General features: G+C 38.6%; 1 protein-coding gene and 1 long non-coding RNA gene across 9 annotated transcripts in view, besides 8 other annotated features; one reads left to right on the top strand and one right to left on the bottom strand.

Annotated features, from left to right (window-relative positions):
- The window catches only part of FZD6 (frizzled class receptor 6), a 34,373-nt gene extending 26,695 nt beyond the window's left edge, over positions 1-7,678 (bottom strand). For 2 of the 5 annotated variants that reach the window (NM_003506.4, NM_001317796.2), the window contains exons 1-2: positions 7,177-7,274; positions 5,888-6,216 (exon numbers count right to left, since the gene is read on the bottom strand). In NM_003506.4, the coding sequence (NP_003497.2) occupies positions 5,888-6,064 (177 nt within the window). In that variant the 5' untranslated portion in view covers positions 6,065-6,216; positions 7,177-7,274. Of the gene's footprint in view, positions 1-5,887; positions 6,217-7,176; positions 7,342-7,601 lie in introns of those variants that run through there. The other 3 variants (NM_001164616.2, NR_133921.2, NM_001164615.2) reach the window with 3 other exon arrangements.
- Positions 6,697-7,197: an enhancer, noted in NCBI's record as "H3K27ac hESC enhancer chr8:104311203-104311703 (GRCh37/hg19 assembly coordinates)". NCBI's record gives its function as "activates a minimal SCP1, AML or CMV promoter by ChIP-STARR-seq in primed H9 embryonic stem cells {active_cell/tissue: H9 hESC(primed)}" and the evidence as "EXISTENCE:reporter gene assay evidence [ECO:0000049][PMID:30033119]".
- Positions 6,697-7,243: a biological region, named in NCBI's record as "H3K27ac hESC enhancer GRCh37_chr8:104311203-104311703".
- Positions 6,794-6,843: an enhancer, noted in NCBI's record as "active region_27788". NCBI's record gives its function as "activates an Ori minimal core promoter by ATAC-STARR-seq in GM12878 lymphoblastoid cells {active_cell/tissue: GM12878}" and the evidence as "EXISTENCE:reporter gene assay evidence [ECO:0000049][PMID:35858748]".
- Positions 6,837-7,131: a silencer, noted in NCBI's record as "tiled region #2116; HepG2 Repressive DNase matched - State 4:PromP, and K562 Repressive non-DNase unmatched - State 20:ReprD". NCBI's record gives its function as "represses a minimal TATA promoter and a strong SV40 promoter by Sharpr-MPRA in HepG2 and K562 cells {active_cell/tissue: HepG2 | K562}" and the evidence as "EXISTENCE:reporter gene assay evidence [ECO:0000049][PMID:27701403]".
- Positions 6,994-7,243: a silencer, noted in NCBI's record as "silent region_19457". NCBI's record gives its function as "represses an Ori minimal core promoter by ATAC-STARR-seq in GM12878 lymphoblastoid cells {active_cell/tissue: GM12878}" and the evidence as "EXISTENCE:reporter gene assay evidence [ECO:0000049][PMID:35858748]".
- Positions 7,198-7,698: an enhancer, noted in NCBI's record as "H3K27ac hESC enhancer chr8:104310702-104311202 (GRCh37/hg19 assembly coordinates)". NCBI's record gives its function as "activates a minimal SCP1, AML or CMV promoter by ChIP-STARR-seq in primed H9 embryonic stem cells {active_cell/tissue: H9 hESC(primed)}" and the evidence as "EXISTENCE:reporter gene assay evidence [ECO:0000049][PMID:30033119]".
- LOC105369147 (uncharacterized) overlaps positions 7,354-15,349 on the top strand; it is a 55,281-nt gene continuing 47,285 nt past the window's right edge. For all 4 annotated transcript variants that reach the window (NR_148216.1, NR_148213.1, NR_148214.1 and 1 more), the window contains exon 1: positions 7,354-7,823. This is a non-coding gene — a long non-coding RNA (uncharacterized LOC105369147). The remainder of the gene's footprint in view (positions 7,824-15,349) is intronic.
- Positions 7,364-7,533: a silencer, noted in NCBI's record as "silent region_19456". NCBI's record gives its function as "represses an Ori minimal core promoter by ATAC-STARR-seq in GM12878 lymphoblastoid cells {active_cell/tissue: GM12878}" and the evidence as "EXISTENCE:reporter gene assay evidence [ECO:0000049][PMID:35858748]".
- Positions 7,544-7,593: a silencer, noted in NCBI's record as "silent region_19455". NCBI's record gives its function as "represses an Ori minimal core promoter by ATAC-STARR-seq in GM12878 lymphoblastoid cells {active_cell/tissue: GM12878}" and the evidence as "EXISTENCE:reporter gene assay evidence [ECO:0000049][PMID:35858748]".

Here is a 15,349-nt window from a genome sequence, read left to right as displayed (position 1 = left end):
TTAGAAAATTTAAATCATTTCTCCAGAAGAGAGTACCTTTGGAAATTAGACAAATGTACATATTAACTGATTGATACTACAAAGGAATGTGTCTAGAATAAATTACTTTTTTAATGTAAACCTTAGAACTTGAAAAACTGTAATTCTGGGAGAGCTACATATTCAGGTACATATTCAATAAATATGAATGAACACATGACAAATATATAACCTAGAGTAATAAAGCTTCATTATTTACATGCCACATTCTTGGGGAAAGGAAATAATCACAACAGTCTTCCCATGGAATACTAAGGAATGGACTAGGAACCTTGTGCTTATCAGCAGAGCCTCCCAGGAGAAATATCCTTTCTCTTCACATACAGGCCTGCCCTTATTCTGCAGTTTCAAAAGAAGGAGTCAAGGGACTTTCCCTGCTACTGCAATGCAACATCACGAAGGAAGGTTTCTACCTTTAAAACACAACAGTAGTCATTATACACGCAACTGGCTTGGAACACTTCTCACTATTTATTTCATTTTATATGATTAATGTCTTACTTTCAGAATAGCTACAGTTATTTTCAGATAGTCTTTCCTGAAAAACAAACAGGTTAATCTCACTAAACATTTTCTTTATTTGTGTATGGACATACAAGGGTAGAGAATATGGAAGAAAGGTGAAAGCAGGAAGGGACTGGACTCTTCTAAAAGCAGGAAAATAAAAATGCTTAAAAGCCACTATACAACAGAAATAGATATTTTCCTTAAAAGTCTGTTTATCCAGTTTTTCTCCATTTATTTTTAACTGAATAGAGACATTCTAACAGCACATATTAACAGGTGGAAAGGAAAGTTGTTTTTTTTCTTTTGGCCCACTTCCCTTTAGACTGTTTAAAAAGGGAATGACCACTTGCTGCTCCAAACACAATACGTGACCTGGCTTTTGCCTAGACCTCAATGAAGGCAATTGAAAAAGAAAAATACAACATTCCTGTTTCCATTTTCCCTAGATCAGTCTCAGCTCTTTCTGGATGAAATCAGTCTCTCAAGGGACCTCAATCTCACAATGCTCTAGATATGAAACAAAAGGAACACAATGGAAAACCAGTAGCCATTTGTTTTTCCACTTGGGAGAGTTAGACTGTACATCCTTTTCATTACAAAGCCCCGTTACTATGCAGAATTGTAAATTAACTCTTTGTAATACAAATGATTTCAGGTTCACATAATAAAATTAGGAAAAAACTGAAGTCCCTCATTTTAAGCAATCTCTGAAACAAAACTAAAGAACCAAGATGTCCCAGTCAGATCCTTTTGGTTTGTGATAAATTTTACTTTAAAAAATTTATGTGGAAAGTAAGTAACAAATAACTCAGTTAATGTATTAACATAAGAATGCACAATAATGTCCACTTATTTCATTCTATACTATCCTTAAAACATTTTCAAGTACTTTAAACCAAGGTTCAGCAAACTGTAGCCCCTGGGCCAAATATAGCCCACTGCCTGTTTTTGTAAATAAAGTTTTATTGAGACACAGCCACACTCATTTGTTGGCATATTGTCTGACTGCTTCTGTGCTACAATTTCAAAGTTGAATAGCTGTGACGGAGACTGTATGGTCTGGAAAGTCAAAATAATTTGGTCTTTTACAGTAAAAATTTGCAATCCAAACTTCTAAACCAGTGGGTCTTGAACTTTAACACTCAAAAGAAACACCTGGGCAGCTTGTGAAACCACAGCTGCGCTCCATCTTCAGAGATCATGATTCAGTAAGTTGGGATAGGAGTCTGTGAGCTTGCATTTCCAACAAGCTCACAAGCTGCTGGTCTATGAACTAAAGTTTAAGAACCACTGCTCTAAACCATCTCATATAATCACAGATTAAAAATGACCATAAATGCTTAAATTCTATAAAACAGGCTAGCTGTTACAAAATGAAAACTAGGAACAAAAAAGGAGTGAGATAGATCTTTTGACTTATACGGAATTCTCAGTGACTAAGAGAGTACAATTCATTGCCATAGCCATCAGGCAATTTTTCAGCCCCTCATCCTAACACTAATTCACAGTGAATCCTGGAAATTCAATAGGAACCAGCAGAAACTAAAGGTAATCGGGTTGGAGGTGTAAAACCCAATCTGATCTTTAGAGAAGCTATAAAACACATTTTTAGTAAAAGCCAAGTTACAAGCAGCTATAATTTAGTACTCAACTGGAATATACACTTAAGGACTAAAGTACAATGTTTGAAAAAAAAAAAACTGACTCATATAGCTTATAATCCAACGGTCCGATCAAAAGTTGAATTCCTTTACTTCATATAAATAACTAGAAATGGTTAAAAATCAAATTCTTTAAGCAAATTCTAATGAATATGTGTAGAGCTAATGTGGGAAACAAAATAGAGGATGTCAACTGATATATTTCATTACAGCTAGGCTCAGACAGAATGAAAAAGAATGATATGTAAACCACCTAAAAATATTAGTATGTCTTTGACTTGGACACTGTAGATGATAGAAGTGGAATGTAAAGATTTGGAGGGAAAATTCCCTTTGCTACCTTATTGGGACATAAAATCCTACCTTTTTCTTTATTTAGCTTTTATGTAGCCTCTACCATGCTCAGAGGCATTGTACTTAGTATTAGGGATACAGATGAAAAAAAAACACCATCCCTACCTTCAACAAACTCTCAATCTAGAGACATGTAGATTCACTGTAAAATAGCATAAGAACAACTGTACATTATAAGTACTGTAAGGGTGTAGAGTGGGGTGATTAAATTTGCTCAGGAGAAAGGTGAAAGAAGGGTTCGCTAAAAACAGTTATTGCTTTAACTGAGAACTGAAGGAATTGAGCAGGTGAAGAAAGGTAGGTAGACAGACGGCTCACCAGAGGATAGAGTGTGTGTAAAGATACAGAGGTGATGGACAGTAATATGGATTTGAATTCTCCAAATAGGTCAGTTGGCTGAAGCAGAGTGTGCAATGTGGGAAGGTACAAGATGAGAGACTGGACAAGCAGCCAGGGTCCCACATGAAGGGCCTGGAGTGCTCTAGAACCAGGTCTTTTTTTCCCCAGCTTTAGGGAAAATGATGAAGGATTTTAACCCTAAAGTGGACTGCACAAATTTGAATTATAATAAAATCATTGTGGCACCACTAGAGAGACTGAAGATTAGGGAGTTAACTTTTGCTTTGTTTTTGTTGTTTTCATTTTGTTTTGTTGAGTTGAAGTCTCACTCTGTTGCCCAGACTGGAGTGCAGTGGAACGATCATAGCTCACTGCAGCCTCCAACTCTTGGGCTTAAGTGATCCTCCCACCTCAGCCTCCAGAGTAGATGGGACTACAGGTGTGCGCCACAGAGATTTTATTTTTGGTCTAACAAGACTTTGTATTCAAGGCACTTGTAAGAAGGAAAAAGAGAGACAGAGCTAAACAGAGGTAAAACAATCACCCAGTTTAATTTTTATCTAAATGAAGTTTGCAAATAAGTAGCAAAGTCTGAAATTTACACATTGCATTCTAAATCATAAGAAATATTATCTTGTTTATCCAATCAGGACAAGGGCCTAAAAAAAAACCAGTTAAAGATGACATTATGGTCCATGTAGACAGAGAAGACTATCAGATTAGAGTGCTCAAAGGGACAAATCGCAGCTTTTCTGGGTTTCAGTTTCTTCATCTGTATAATGAAGGGTTCGGGGGTTCTTTACCTGAGCTATATTTCAATATAATTTGTTTTCTTTGTAATCCTACACATTTTATTTATTTAAATATTAAAACTTCTCTTATCTTGAGAAGGGGTTAATGTCATAAAAAAGGTTAAGAAGCTCTATATGATCTTTAGGGTCACTTACAACTCTCAACTTATAGGATTTTGGACATTCAAATACAGGAACTAAAAGAGAATACTACTGTATATGGATAAATAGGAAAGGGGCAGTAGGAAAAACACAATAGTATACACTGAGAAATTACATATAGGGATTAAAAGTCTGAGCCAGGGTGACATTATTTTTGCCTTTTCATTTCTCTTTCCTTTCTTCTATAGACTTAGGTTAATGCTGGTATTGTGACTGCTTGATGGCTCTCTTCTTTTGTATCCTTAAATTTACTGAAGTATGATTTATAGCAAAAAAAAAAACTTCATTAGTAAAGGCTATGAGAAAGGTTAGTTATAAGTGGAAAATTATATAATGAAGAGATTGGTAGTATTAGCAATCATATAAAAGAGGTAAGAACAAAAAGCCTTCTTGATAATATCCAGGCACAAAACTACTTGGGAAAGAAGCTAGGTAAATTAAAAAGTAATTTTTTTGAAAGTAAAAAAAATTTGGTTTTAAAAAGACGTGCAGAACAAAGCTAGTTGCTACCATCTTATAATTACAGGCATTTAATAGCAGGGATGCATCTCTCTTGAGTCTAGGTGATATGAATTTATAAGGTCACTGTTAGCATTCAAACTTAAAATGGTCAGCCAGGTGCAGTAGCTCGCGCCTGTAATCCTAGCACTTTGGGATGCTGAGGCAGGACGGATCACTTGAGCCTAGGAGTTTGAGACCAGCCTGGGCAACATAGTAAGACCCCATCTCTAAAAGAAAAAACAAAAACCTTAAAATGTATGTAGTTACCACATACAAAGGAAATTAGATTTAAAAAATTTAGGAACACTATTAAAACATGAACACTACAAAACATATTATCATCAGCAAAAAAGTGAATGAATGATGTAATTATTGCTTCACAGTGTTCTCACTATATACTTCATATTGAATCAGATTGAACCATCAAAATGGTTCTGATTCATGAAAGTCTCAGTGCATCATTTGTTCAGTTCAAAAGGACATCTAGCATCAGTTTGAAAAAAACCACTGAAAGATAACAATAATATAATCTGTACTATCCTTTTAAATAACATCTACTTAGTATTTATAAGCTTTCCTATTCCAGACATGAGTCCACAATGAGGCAGTCAGACAACTATTCAACTGAACAACAATAGAAAACTTTCAAAGCTGCAAAATCAAATCTAATCAATTTTAAAAATAGTATATATATTAAATTTGTAGGGATTTCCTCTCTTAGCAACAATCTGAGGGAAAAAAGCCTTTACTATTCTGTTTTTCTGGAGAAAAACTACAAAAACAATGCATGTGTCTAGTTTCCTTCAGGAGACTTAACAACCTAACAAATCTGTATGGGAAGGCAGGTTCCTGTCTGTACAGGTAGCTTTCTTCTCACACTCCCTAGTAATTTGCATATCTCTAAACCAGAGACAGGTAACTAAGGCACCTAAGGCAATCTTTAGTGTCACTGTACTCCTCCCAAGTGGTTTCTTTTAACAAGTATCTTATAAAGAACATATAAGTGCTATGCTTAGAAAACAAAGTCACTTTTTAGTGACTTTGTGATAGCCTTAAAATACAGTCTACAGCAACAAAATATTCTGATAATTTATTTATTTCAGAAAAACTGTACCAAGTGAATATTACAACTACTTATAAAAACTTGTAAATTTCTTCAGTTTTAGTCCAGGCAATAAATATTACATGTTCAGTGAAGTAGAAAAATATTCAGAATTCGCATTTCTAGAAGAACTATCATACTTGATTCAGGAAAGCAAAATATTTTCTAGGTACAAGGTATTTAGAAATCATGTGTAACCATACTTCATTATATAAAATGAACCCTATTCAAACGAATCTACTAAACAGGGCCGCAAAGGTACACAAAACATAAGTCAGTAGAGGGATTTAATTTTCAAAAGGACTTTTCAAAACACAACTTGTACACAACTTGAAGAAATCGGCTCTGTTTAAAAATAGACTTATTTTTACTAGTTTATTCTAGAACAGAGCATAAACTACTATTCAATAAACGTATGAAGCACTACTCACCTCCATTTCCACCGCGGCAATACTCTGGTCATAATGACCCATCAGATTAGGGAAAAACGTCATGTTGTAGGCCATTTTCATACATCTGGGAACAGTAATTGGTTCACAGGTGAAGAGACTGTGCCCTCTTAGGAGGGGTAGAAAAATACACGTCAACAAAAATGTAAACATTTCCATTTTCTTCAAATTCCTGATTTTACCACATGGCTTGGATGAATCACTCTTTGCATCCTCAGAAGATCCCCATCCAAAGATAAAATGTTCAAATTCCTCATTTCACTATTTTACTCATTTTCAGGCTTTCCTGAAAATGAGTCCTGGGTCAATTACTGTAAAAACAAAAGGAGGGTGTATCAGCAACATTTGTCATAAACTCAAATGTGGAGTCAAAGTGCAGAGTTAAGATTTTCACCCCAGGTAACAAACACTGGAAAAACAACGGAAAATTCTGTCCTAACGAGATACTCTTCCACCTGCCTTAGCATGGAATATATCATTTGCTAAGGAAGCTGCACCTCTAGGAAACCGATGCTAGGAGGTTGGTGCTGTATGGAAGACAGGGTTAAAAAGAGGGAATGGCAAGAGTAAGATGGAGGAAAAAAGGAAAGCTGGTGATTCGGAGTAAATTATAAAGGATTAATATAAGCATACAATCTAAGGGCCCCTGTTGGAAAGCTTATTAAGTACAAGAAAACTAAGGCCCTGGGAAATTCCTTAAGACCCAAAGAGTTCTTAAACTTGTAAAAGACTCTGAAGAGTCAGTTTTTGTGGCAGTCTTCTGGGTATGTAGTTTTCTCGATTTTCGTAAGGCCAACTAGAGGGAGACTTTTAGGATTCCTCCAGTGGAGGAGCAACATTGCAGTTTTCACTGGCTAGGAGGGTGTAGTGCTGCCGTCGAAAGGAAAGTGCGCAAATCTGTCCCGGGGGAAGGGCGAAGGCAGTCCCCTTGCGGGAGGAAGGCTGTAGGCCCCGGATTACGAATTACCCGCGCCCCAACACACACTGATGCCCGGTCCGCCAGCGCCCCACACCCGGGAACCTGCCCCAGGCCTAGAGCCAGACAGCAGCGTTCCTGGCCTGCGCGGCGCCGCGGGGCCCCGGCATCGCCTTTCAGAGCCGGTTCCCGCTTCCGAGGAAACTCAGGTGCGGGCCGTCCCGCCGTTGCCTCCCCAGCACCTGCGGCTCCCGGCGCGCCTCATCCCAGCCGCGGCCCCTCGCCCCTCGAGGCCCTCCCCGCTTCCCCCGGCACCCGCCCGGCCCCTGCCCAGTCCCAGCCGTGGAAGCCTCACCTCGGGGGGCGGTCGAAGGCCGCTGTCCCTTCCCGTCCCCGTCTAACCCACCGTTCCCCCCAGGGACCTGAGACGGCTCCGGGGTTGCGTCCGGGACTGGAGCTGCCTCGAGAGCCGCACGGGGAGCGAGAGCTGAGCGATCCCGCGAGACTGCGCCGCCAGGTCGGGCGGGCAGGTCCGGGCTCGCGGCGGCGGCGGCGGCGGCGGCGGCGGCGGCGGCGGGACTGGCCCTGCGCCCGGGCACCGCCTGCGCTGCGCCGCCCGGCCTCACTCCGCGGCCCGCCAGGACCCGGCCCCGGTGAACGGGCTCGGGGTGCCGAGGTCCGGCTGCGGGGCCGGGAAGCCACCTCCACCTTGCCGTCTGTTACGACCCCCGAGGCGCAAGGCTGAGCCCCATCTCGCTATCCGGGTCCGGAGGGGTTCACCTTAGAAGGATTTTTTGAAGCTCTTGGCGCTGGCTCTAAAAGAACCCACTTCCTTGCGGATTTCAGGAGTCAAGAATCCTTAAACGGAGCCAATTTGCTTTGTAAAGCCAATTGCCCAAGTGACTTGAGTTCGAAAGGAGATACTTCCTGGACAACTGCTATAAAAACAACAACAAATACTTTTATTAATTCGGGGAGCCTGGTCACCAACTGGATGCTCAGGTAGCAGTGGGATTCCAGCCCTGGCGGGTCCCACAGTTTTATTGATACAAACCCTAATAGGAAGTTGAACTGCTGTAGAAATCAACCTAGTTTGGGGTACCAACTCTGTCATAGATATTAGATAAATTACCCTAATCTTTAAGGGGCATAGTTTCCTCACAATATAGGAATGACAATAGTTGTAATGATGGTTAACGTTAATTGAGCACTGGCTGTAAGTCAAATAGTGCCAAGTTCGTTACAAGTGTTTACACCTAACCTGTAAGGCCCTCCTATGAAACAGGCAGAATAGTATGAGAAGCAAATGAACTTGTAGAAGTACTTTGAAAAATGCAAAGTAACTTGTAGATGGAGGCTATTCTTGTCAGATAAATCATCCTGTTGCAGAAAAGGAATGTCATATTTCCATACCTAGAAGGACAACCCTGAACAACCAGAGTAAGAGTTTTGGAATCTGTGGGGAAAGACGAATTTGGAGTGGGGAATTCCTCCCCAGTTTTATCAAAAGCTTACTGATGTTGGGAGACAGGTAGTGATGAAGAAATATTAACATCATTAAGAGCTGGATAGTTGATGTATTGCAGAATAAATTTCTATGTAGGAAGAATATTTTCCCCTAAATTTCTAATTTTCTACATTGGAAGACTATTTCTCTCCAGTTTCTACGAACTTAATGAGATCTTTTTGTGATCAGGCTCTAGTGACTACCAGGCAGTGAAGTATCACTAAAAGTATCATTTAAAAACGATACTTTTTAAAATATCGTTTGAAAACGATACTTTTAAAGTATCATTTGAAAACGATAGTTTTGAAATTCAAGTGAATACTTGTTCCATTATTTGGAAGGAAAAATTGTAGTAAGTTGATTTATACAGAAGTAAATAAAGCCTGTTTTATTTTTCATTGTATTTAATTATATAGTGAGCAGTGATGAACTAGAATGATTTTTTTTTTGTCAGGATGGATTTGGAATACTTAGGCAATCATCTATATCATCGCTTGTCTTTCACTGTACAATTTCATCCCAATGGTACGAGATTAAGAACACAAACTTTGGAGTTCAAAATCCCTGGGTTCAAAACCTAGCTCCAGCATTTACTTGCTGTGTGAACTTGAGCAAATTATTCAGATCCTCTTTAGTTTCTTCATCTGTAAATATGGAACTATCTGACGGTTTTCCTCATTTTCCTTCTCTTTCTCTTTGCATTGTTCCTCTGGGCTGATGCTAGGGGACAGTGGTGACCAAAAGTAGAAGAAACAGACTTTTACTTTTAAAGGCTAATTTTGCAAGGTACAGAATTATAGGTTGGTAGTTTTTTTCTCTGAACACTTTTACTCCACCTCTCTTCTTGTCTACGTGGTTTCTGAGAAGTTGGATGTCATTCTTTATTTTTGTTCCTCTATAGGTAAGCTCCTCATCATTAAGTATATTGTTACCTTAGGGTTTTTGTAGATGTTCTTTAGCAAGTGAGAAAGTTCCCCCTCTGTCCCTAGTTTGCTGAAAGTTTTTATGATGAAAATGTGCTGGATTTTGTCAAATGCATTTTCTGCATCTATTGATGTGGTCATGTGATTTTTCTTCTTTAGTCTATTGGTATGGTAGATTACATGAATGAATTTTCAAATATTGGACCAGCCTTGCATACCTGGGATAAATCTTGGTTATGCTGTACAATTCTTTTTATGCATTGCTGGATTCTACTAGCTAATATTTTGTTGAGGATTTTTACATCTTTGTTCAAGAGATATATTGGTTTATAGTTTTCTTTGCTAGTAATGTTTTTGTCTGGTTTTGGTATTAGGGCAATGCTGCTAGGAAGTATTCCCCCTGCTTCTATCTTCTGGAAGAGATTTTAGAGAGTTGGTCTAACATTGTTGGTGACTGACATTAATTTGGGGAAATTTTCAGTCACTATTGCTTCAAATATTTCTTCTGTTCCTTTCTCTAATTCTTCTCCTGGTATTCCTGTTACACATATGTTATACTTTTGTAGTTGTTTCACAGTTCTTGGATATTGTTTCTTTTTTTTAAGTCCTTTTTCTCTTTATTTTTCAATTTTGGAAGTTTCCATTGACATATCCTCAAACTCAGAGATTCTTTTCTCAACCATGTCCAGTCTATTAATGAATCCATCAAAGGCATGCTTCATTTCTGTTATAGAATTTTATATCTCTAGCAATTCTTATTCTTCCTTAAAATTTTCATTTCTGCTTACATTAACCGTCTGTTCTTTCAAGTTGTCTACGTTTACCTTTACAACCCTTAGTATATTAATCACAGTTATTTGAAGTTCCTGGTCTGATAATTCCAACATCTCTGCCGTATGTGAGTCTAGTTCTGATGATTGCTTTGCCTCTTCAAACTGTGTTTTTTGCTCTGTAGTGTGCCTTGTAATTTTTAGTTGAAAGCTGGACATGATGCACTGGGTGAAAGGCACTGGAGTAAATGGGCTTCAGTGATGCGGTGTTAAGATGTGGGAGGAGGGGAAACATTCTATAGACCTATGATTAGATTTCAGTCTTAGTGAGCTTGTGTCCCTAGGCTGGAAACTTCACAAGTGCTTCTTAGTTTTTATCCCCCTTCTTGGGTGGGACAGGATGTCTAGAGGGGGCTGGGGTTGGATATTTCCCATCTATCAGCTTGGTTAGGCTCTGCTAAAACTGTAATAGGTTAGGCTCTGGTAGTTTCTCTTGAGGGCAGGCCTTGTTAAAAAGAACAGAATATTTTGACATATTTCAAAATGGTTCTTTTCACCTCTCCCTGTTGGATGTAGGAGGTGATTTTTCTTTGATTTTCACTGAGAGAACCTGGAAGAACTCCTGGAGGTAAAACTTACAAAAGTGTGAGTGTGCCCTCCAAAGACTAGGCCCCCTCCCCCTTTGTGTGTGTGTGTGTGTGTGTGTGTGTGTGTGTGTTTGTGTGTGTGTGTGTCTCACTCTGTTGCCAGGCTGGAGTGCAGTGGCGTGATCTTGGCTCACTGCAACCTCCGCCTCCTGGGTTCAAATGGTTCTCCCACCTCACCCTCCCGAGTAGCTGGGATTATAGGTGCACACCACCATGCCCAGCTAATTTTTGTATTTTTAGTAGAGACGGGGTTTCACCGTATTGGCCAGGATGGTCTCTGTCTCCTGACCTCGTGATCTCCCTGCCTAGGCCTCCCAAAGTGCTGGGATTACAGGCGTGAGCCACCGTGCCCAGCTGACCCCCTGGAGTTTTAAATTCTTAGTCTTGACCACCCTGAGCCTCTAGCAATTCATCAGTTACAGTTCTGGTCTTCCTACCCTGTACTCATGCCCCTGGAGGTTTCTGCCGGCGGGTTTCTGCTCTAGTAAATTGTGATTCTGTGTATCTGCCTGTTTGTCTCTCCAACTTTGGGGGCAGTGGCTTGCTCTGTGTCCTTACTTCTCTGCTAGATCTAGGAAGAGTTGTTGATTTTCAGTTTGTTCAACTTTCTACTTTTTGTCAGGACAGAGTAACAGCTAAGCTCCTTACATGCCACACTACAAACCTTAATTTCTCATTTTTAAAAATAGGTATGACTTTAAGAATTTTATTGATAATTCCAGTTGCTACTGCCTTAGCAGAGCAAAGTTTCTCCAAGTTAAAATCGAGTTGAAAAATCCCAAGAGCTGCAATAATTCAGAAAAGTTATGTAATTTGGCATTAGTATTCATAGAAGACTGACTATATGAAAATTTTTATTATGACAATATAATTAAGGGATTTTGCTAAAATGAAGGGAAGAAAGTAAATTTCACAGGGGTAAATATGTAACTTGTAAACTGTGTAAGTTTTTATTTAATTACTTACCCAAACATCTCCAGCCTATCACCGGACTATGCAAACACGTGCCATAATAATTGAATTTATCTACTTTTGATATTTTGCCTACTCATTAAAACATAGCTTTACACATTAAAAACATTTCTGTCTTTATAAAGGTACATTTTTTCAAGGTAGGAGGATAGAACATATTTCAAGTAGCAGTTTGTTAGTTTGATATATGAATTTTAGCTATGTAGACATATAGCATGGTGTCCTCCTTTGTACTCCTGCCTGGGCCCTGTACACATACTGGGGGATAGGCCGGCTTGTGGCCACTGACCTGATGCTGAGACATTAGCAGTTTGAGGAACAAACAGCAGTAGAGGGACCCCAGCTGGAGGAGGCTGGGCTGAGCAGAGGCATAGAAGAGTACAGAAGCAAAGAGGAACTTGGGAGGAAGCAGTTAGAACTTCCAGTGGTATGAACCCCTTCCCTCATGAAGTTCTCTCCCTAATACTTCTTTCCCTAACCCTTGAAAGCTCTATCATGGCTTCACTCCCTCCATGTAACATTGTGAATTTGATCATGCACTGACTTAATTTAGGGAAGTTTATGCGCATGACGTAGAGGATAGTTTCTATTTAAAAACTAACTTTCACTTGAAATACATTCCCTGTCACTCCCTACTCTGAAAGCTAATTGCTGCAGTGTTTGTAGCACAGCAATTAACCTTTGGGTTGTGTCCATTATGGTTGTATCCATTATGGTTGGCCAGAAATAATAGACCTTCTAATTACTACCTCCAGTGTTACTGGAAAAATAAAATTTTCAGTGCAGTAGTAACATGACACTGCAGGAAAGAGCCACATATTTTAATGACAGTTTGATGTATAAGACTGCCTCTTTGGAGCTCTGGTATAGTCATTGCAAATAAGAGATTCATAATGCTAAAGAAAAACAGCCTCAGCTCTATTAATGCTTTGAGTTACATTTTGTGCCTGTGAGTTTGCCCTGCTGGGTTTGTTTTCAGTGGATTCAAACCTACCATCTGGTCATTTTAAATATTTAATATGTTATCCTTTTTTTAACCAAAGCAGCCATGTTAAGTCGAATATTAGAAATAGTATTTTCCCTTTATAAAGCTTGTAGCATCTAGAAAAGGGCTTTTTGCCCCAATTTAGTAATTTAGACAATAGCTAAATTAATTTTCTTTGATGTGCAGAAGTAACTTTATACCAATTGTGGTTCATGGGCTGCTAATAACTCTGATTTTTTTTTTTTTGATACTTTAAGTTTTAGGGTACATGTGCACAATGTGCAGGTTAGTTACATATGTATACATGTGTCATGCTGGTGTGCTGCACCCATTAACTCGTCATTTAGCATTAGGTATATCTCCTAAAGCTATCCCTCCCCCCTCCCCCCACCCCACAACAGTCCCCAGAGTGTGATGTTCCCCTTCCTGTGTCCATGTGTTCTCATTGTTCAATTCCCACCTATGAGTGAGAATATGCAGTGTTTGGTTTTTTGTTCTTGTGATAGTTTACTGAGAATGATGATTTCCAATTTCATCCATGTCCCTACAAAGGACATGAACTCATCATTTTTTATGGCTGCATAGTATTCCATGGTGTATATGTGCCACATTTTCTTAATCCAGTCTATCATTGTTGGACATTTGGGTTGGTTCCAAGTCTTTGCTATTGTGAATAGTGCCGCAATAAACATACGTGTGCATGTGTCTTTATAGCAGCATGATTTATAATCCTTTGGGTATATACCCAGTAATGGGATGGCTGGGTCAAATGGTATTTCTAGTTCTAGATCCCTGAGGAATCACCACACTGACTTCCACAAGGGTTGAACTACTTTACAGTCCCACCAACAGTGTAAAAGTGTTCCTATTTCTCCACATCCTCTCCAGCACCTGTTGTTTCCTGACTTTTTATGGTTGCCATTCTAACTGGTGTGAGATGGTATCTCATTGTGGTTTTGATTTGCATTTCTCTGATGGCCAGTGATGGTGAGCATTTTTTCATGTGTGTTTTGGCTGCATAAATGTCTTCTTTTGAGAAGTGTGTGTTCATATCCTTTGCCCACTTTTTGATGGGGTTGTTTGTTTTTTTCTTGTAAATTTGTTTGAGTTCATTGTAGATTCTGGATATTAGCCCCTTGTCAGATGAGTAGGTTGTGAAAATTTTCTTCCATTTTGTAGGTTGCCTGTTCACTCTGATGGTAGTTTCTTTTGCTGTGCAGAAGCTCTTTAGTTTAATTAGATCCCATTTGTCAATTTTGGCTTTTGTTGCCATTGCTTTTGGTGTTTTAGATATGAAGTCCTTGCCCATGCCTATGTCCTGAATGGTAATGCCTAGGTTTTCTTCTAGGGTTTTTATGGTTTTAGGTCTAACGTTTAAGTCTTTAATCCATCTTGAATTAATTTTTGTATAAGGTGTCAGGAAGGGATCCAGTTGCAGCTTTCTACATATGGCTAGCCAGTTTTCCCAGCACCATTTATTAAATAGGGAATCCTTTCCCCATTGCTTGTTTTTCTCAGGTTTGTCAAAGATCAGATAGTTGTAGATATGCGGCATTATTTCTGAGGGCTCTGTTCTGTTCCATTGATCTATATCTCTGTTTTGGTATCAGTACCATGCTGTTTTGGTTACTGTAGCCTTGTAGTATAGTTTGAAGTCAGGTAGCGTGATGCCTCCAGCTTTGTTCTTTTGAGTTAGGATTGACTTGGCGATGTGGGCTCTTTTTGGTTCCATATGAACTTTAAAGTAGTTTTTTCCAATTCTGTGAAGAAAGTCATTGGTAGCTTGATGGGGATGGCATTGAATCTATAAATTACCTTGGGCAGTATGGCCATTTTCATGATATTGATTCTTCCTACCCATGAGCATGGAATGTTCTTCCATTTGTTTGTATCCTCTTTGTATTTCGTTGAGCAGTGGTTTTCAGTTCTCCTTGAAGAGGTCCTTCACGTCCCTTGTAAGTTGGATTCCTAGGTAATAACTCTGATTTTTAAAATTACATTAAAAACAAATGGATTAGAATAACTAATATTGTTAAGATGTCCATAGTACTCAAAGCAATTCATAGATTTAATGCAATTTATATCAAAATTTCAGTGACATTTTTCACAGAAATAGAAAAAATAATCCTAGAAGTCATATGGAACCACAGAAGACCCTGGCTAGCCAAAGCAATCTTGAGAGAGAGGAACAAAACTAGAGGCATCACACTGTCTGATTTCAAACTGTATTACAAAGCTACAGTAATCAAACCAGTATGATGCTGGTATAAAAACAGACCAATGGAACAGTAGAGAGAGCTCAGAAATAAGCCTATATATATAATATATATATATTATATACATTATGTATATATTATATATAATATACATAATATATAATATATATAACATGTATATAATATATATACATATATATATTATATATATATACATTATATATATAATATATATATATATAAAATCAGCTAATCTTTGACAAGGGCACCAAGAATGTACAAAGGGGAAAAGATAGTTTCTTCAATAAATGATGTTGAAAAAACTAGACATCCACATGCCAAAAAATGAAATTGGGCCCTTTTCTTATACAATGTGAAAAAATTAACTTGAAATGGATTAAAGACTTAAATATAAGAGCCAACACTGTAAAACTCCTAGAAGAAAACATAAGGGAAAAGCTCCTTGACATTGGTCTTGGCAATAATTTTTTTCGATATGACATCAAAA

This window comes from Homo sapiens, chromosome 8 (assembly GCF_000001405.40).
Source record: "Homo sapiens chromosome 8, GRCh38.p14 Primary Assembly".
NCBI classification, from domain to species: domain Eukaryota; kingdom Metazoa; phylum Chordata; class Mammalia; order Primates; family Hominidae; genus Homo; species Homo sapiens.
The sequence above is the reverse complement of the archived record's forward strand: the minus strand, read 5'-3'. Positions and strand labels throughout refer to the sequence as shown.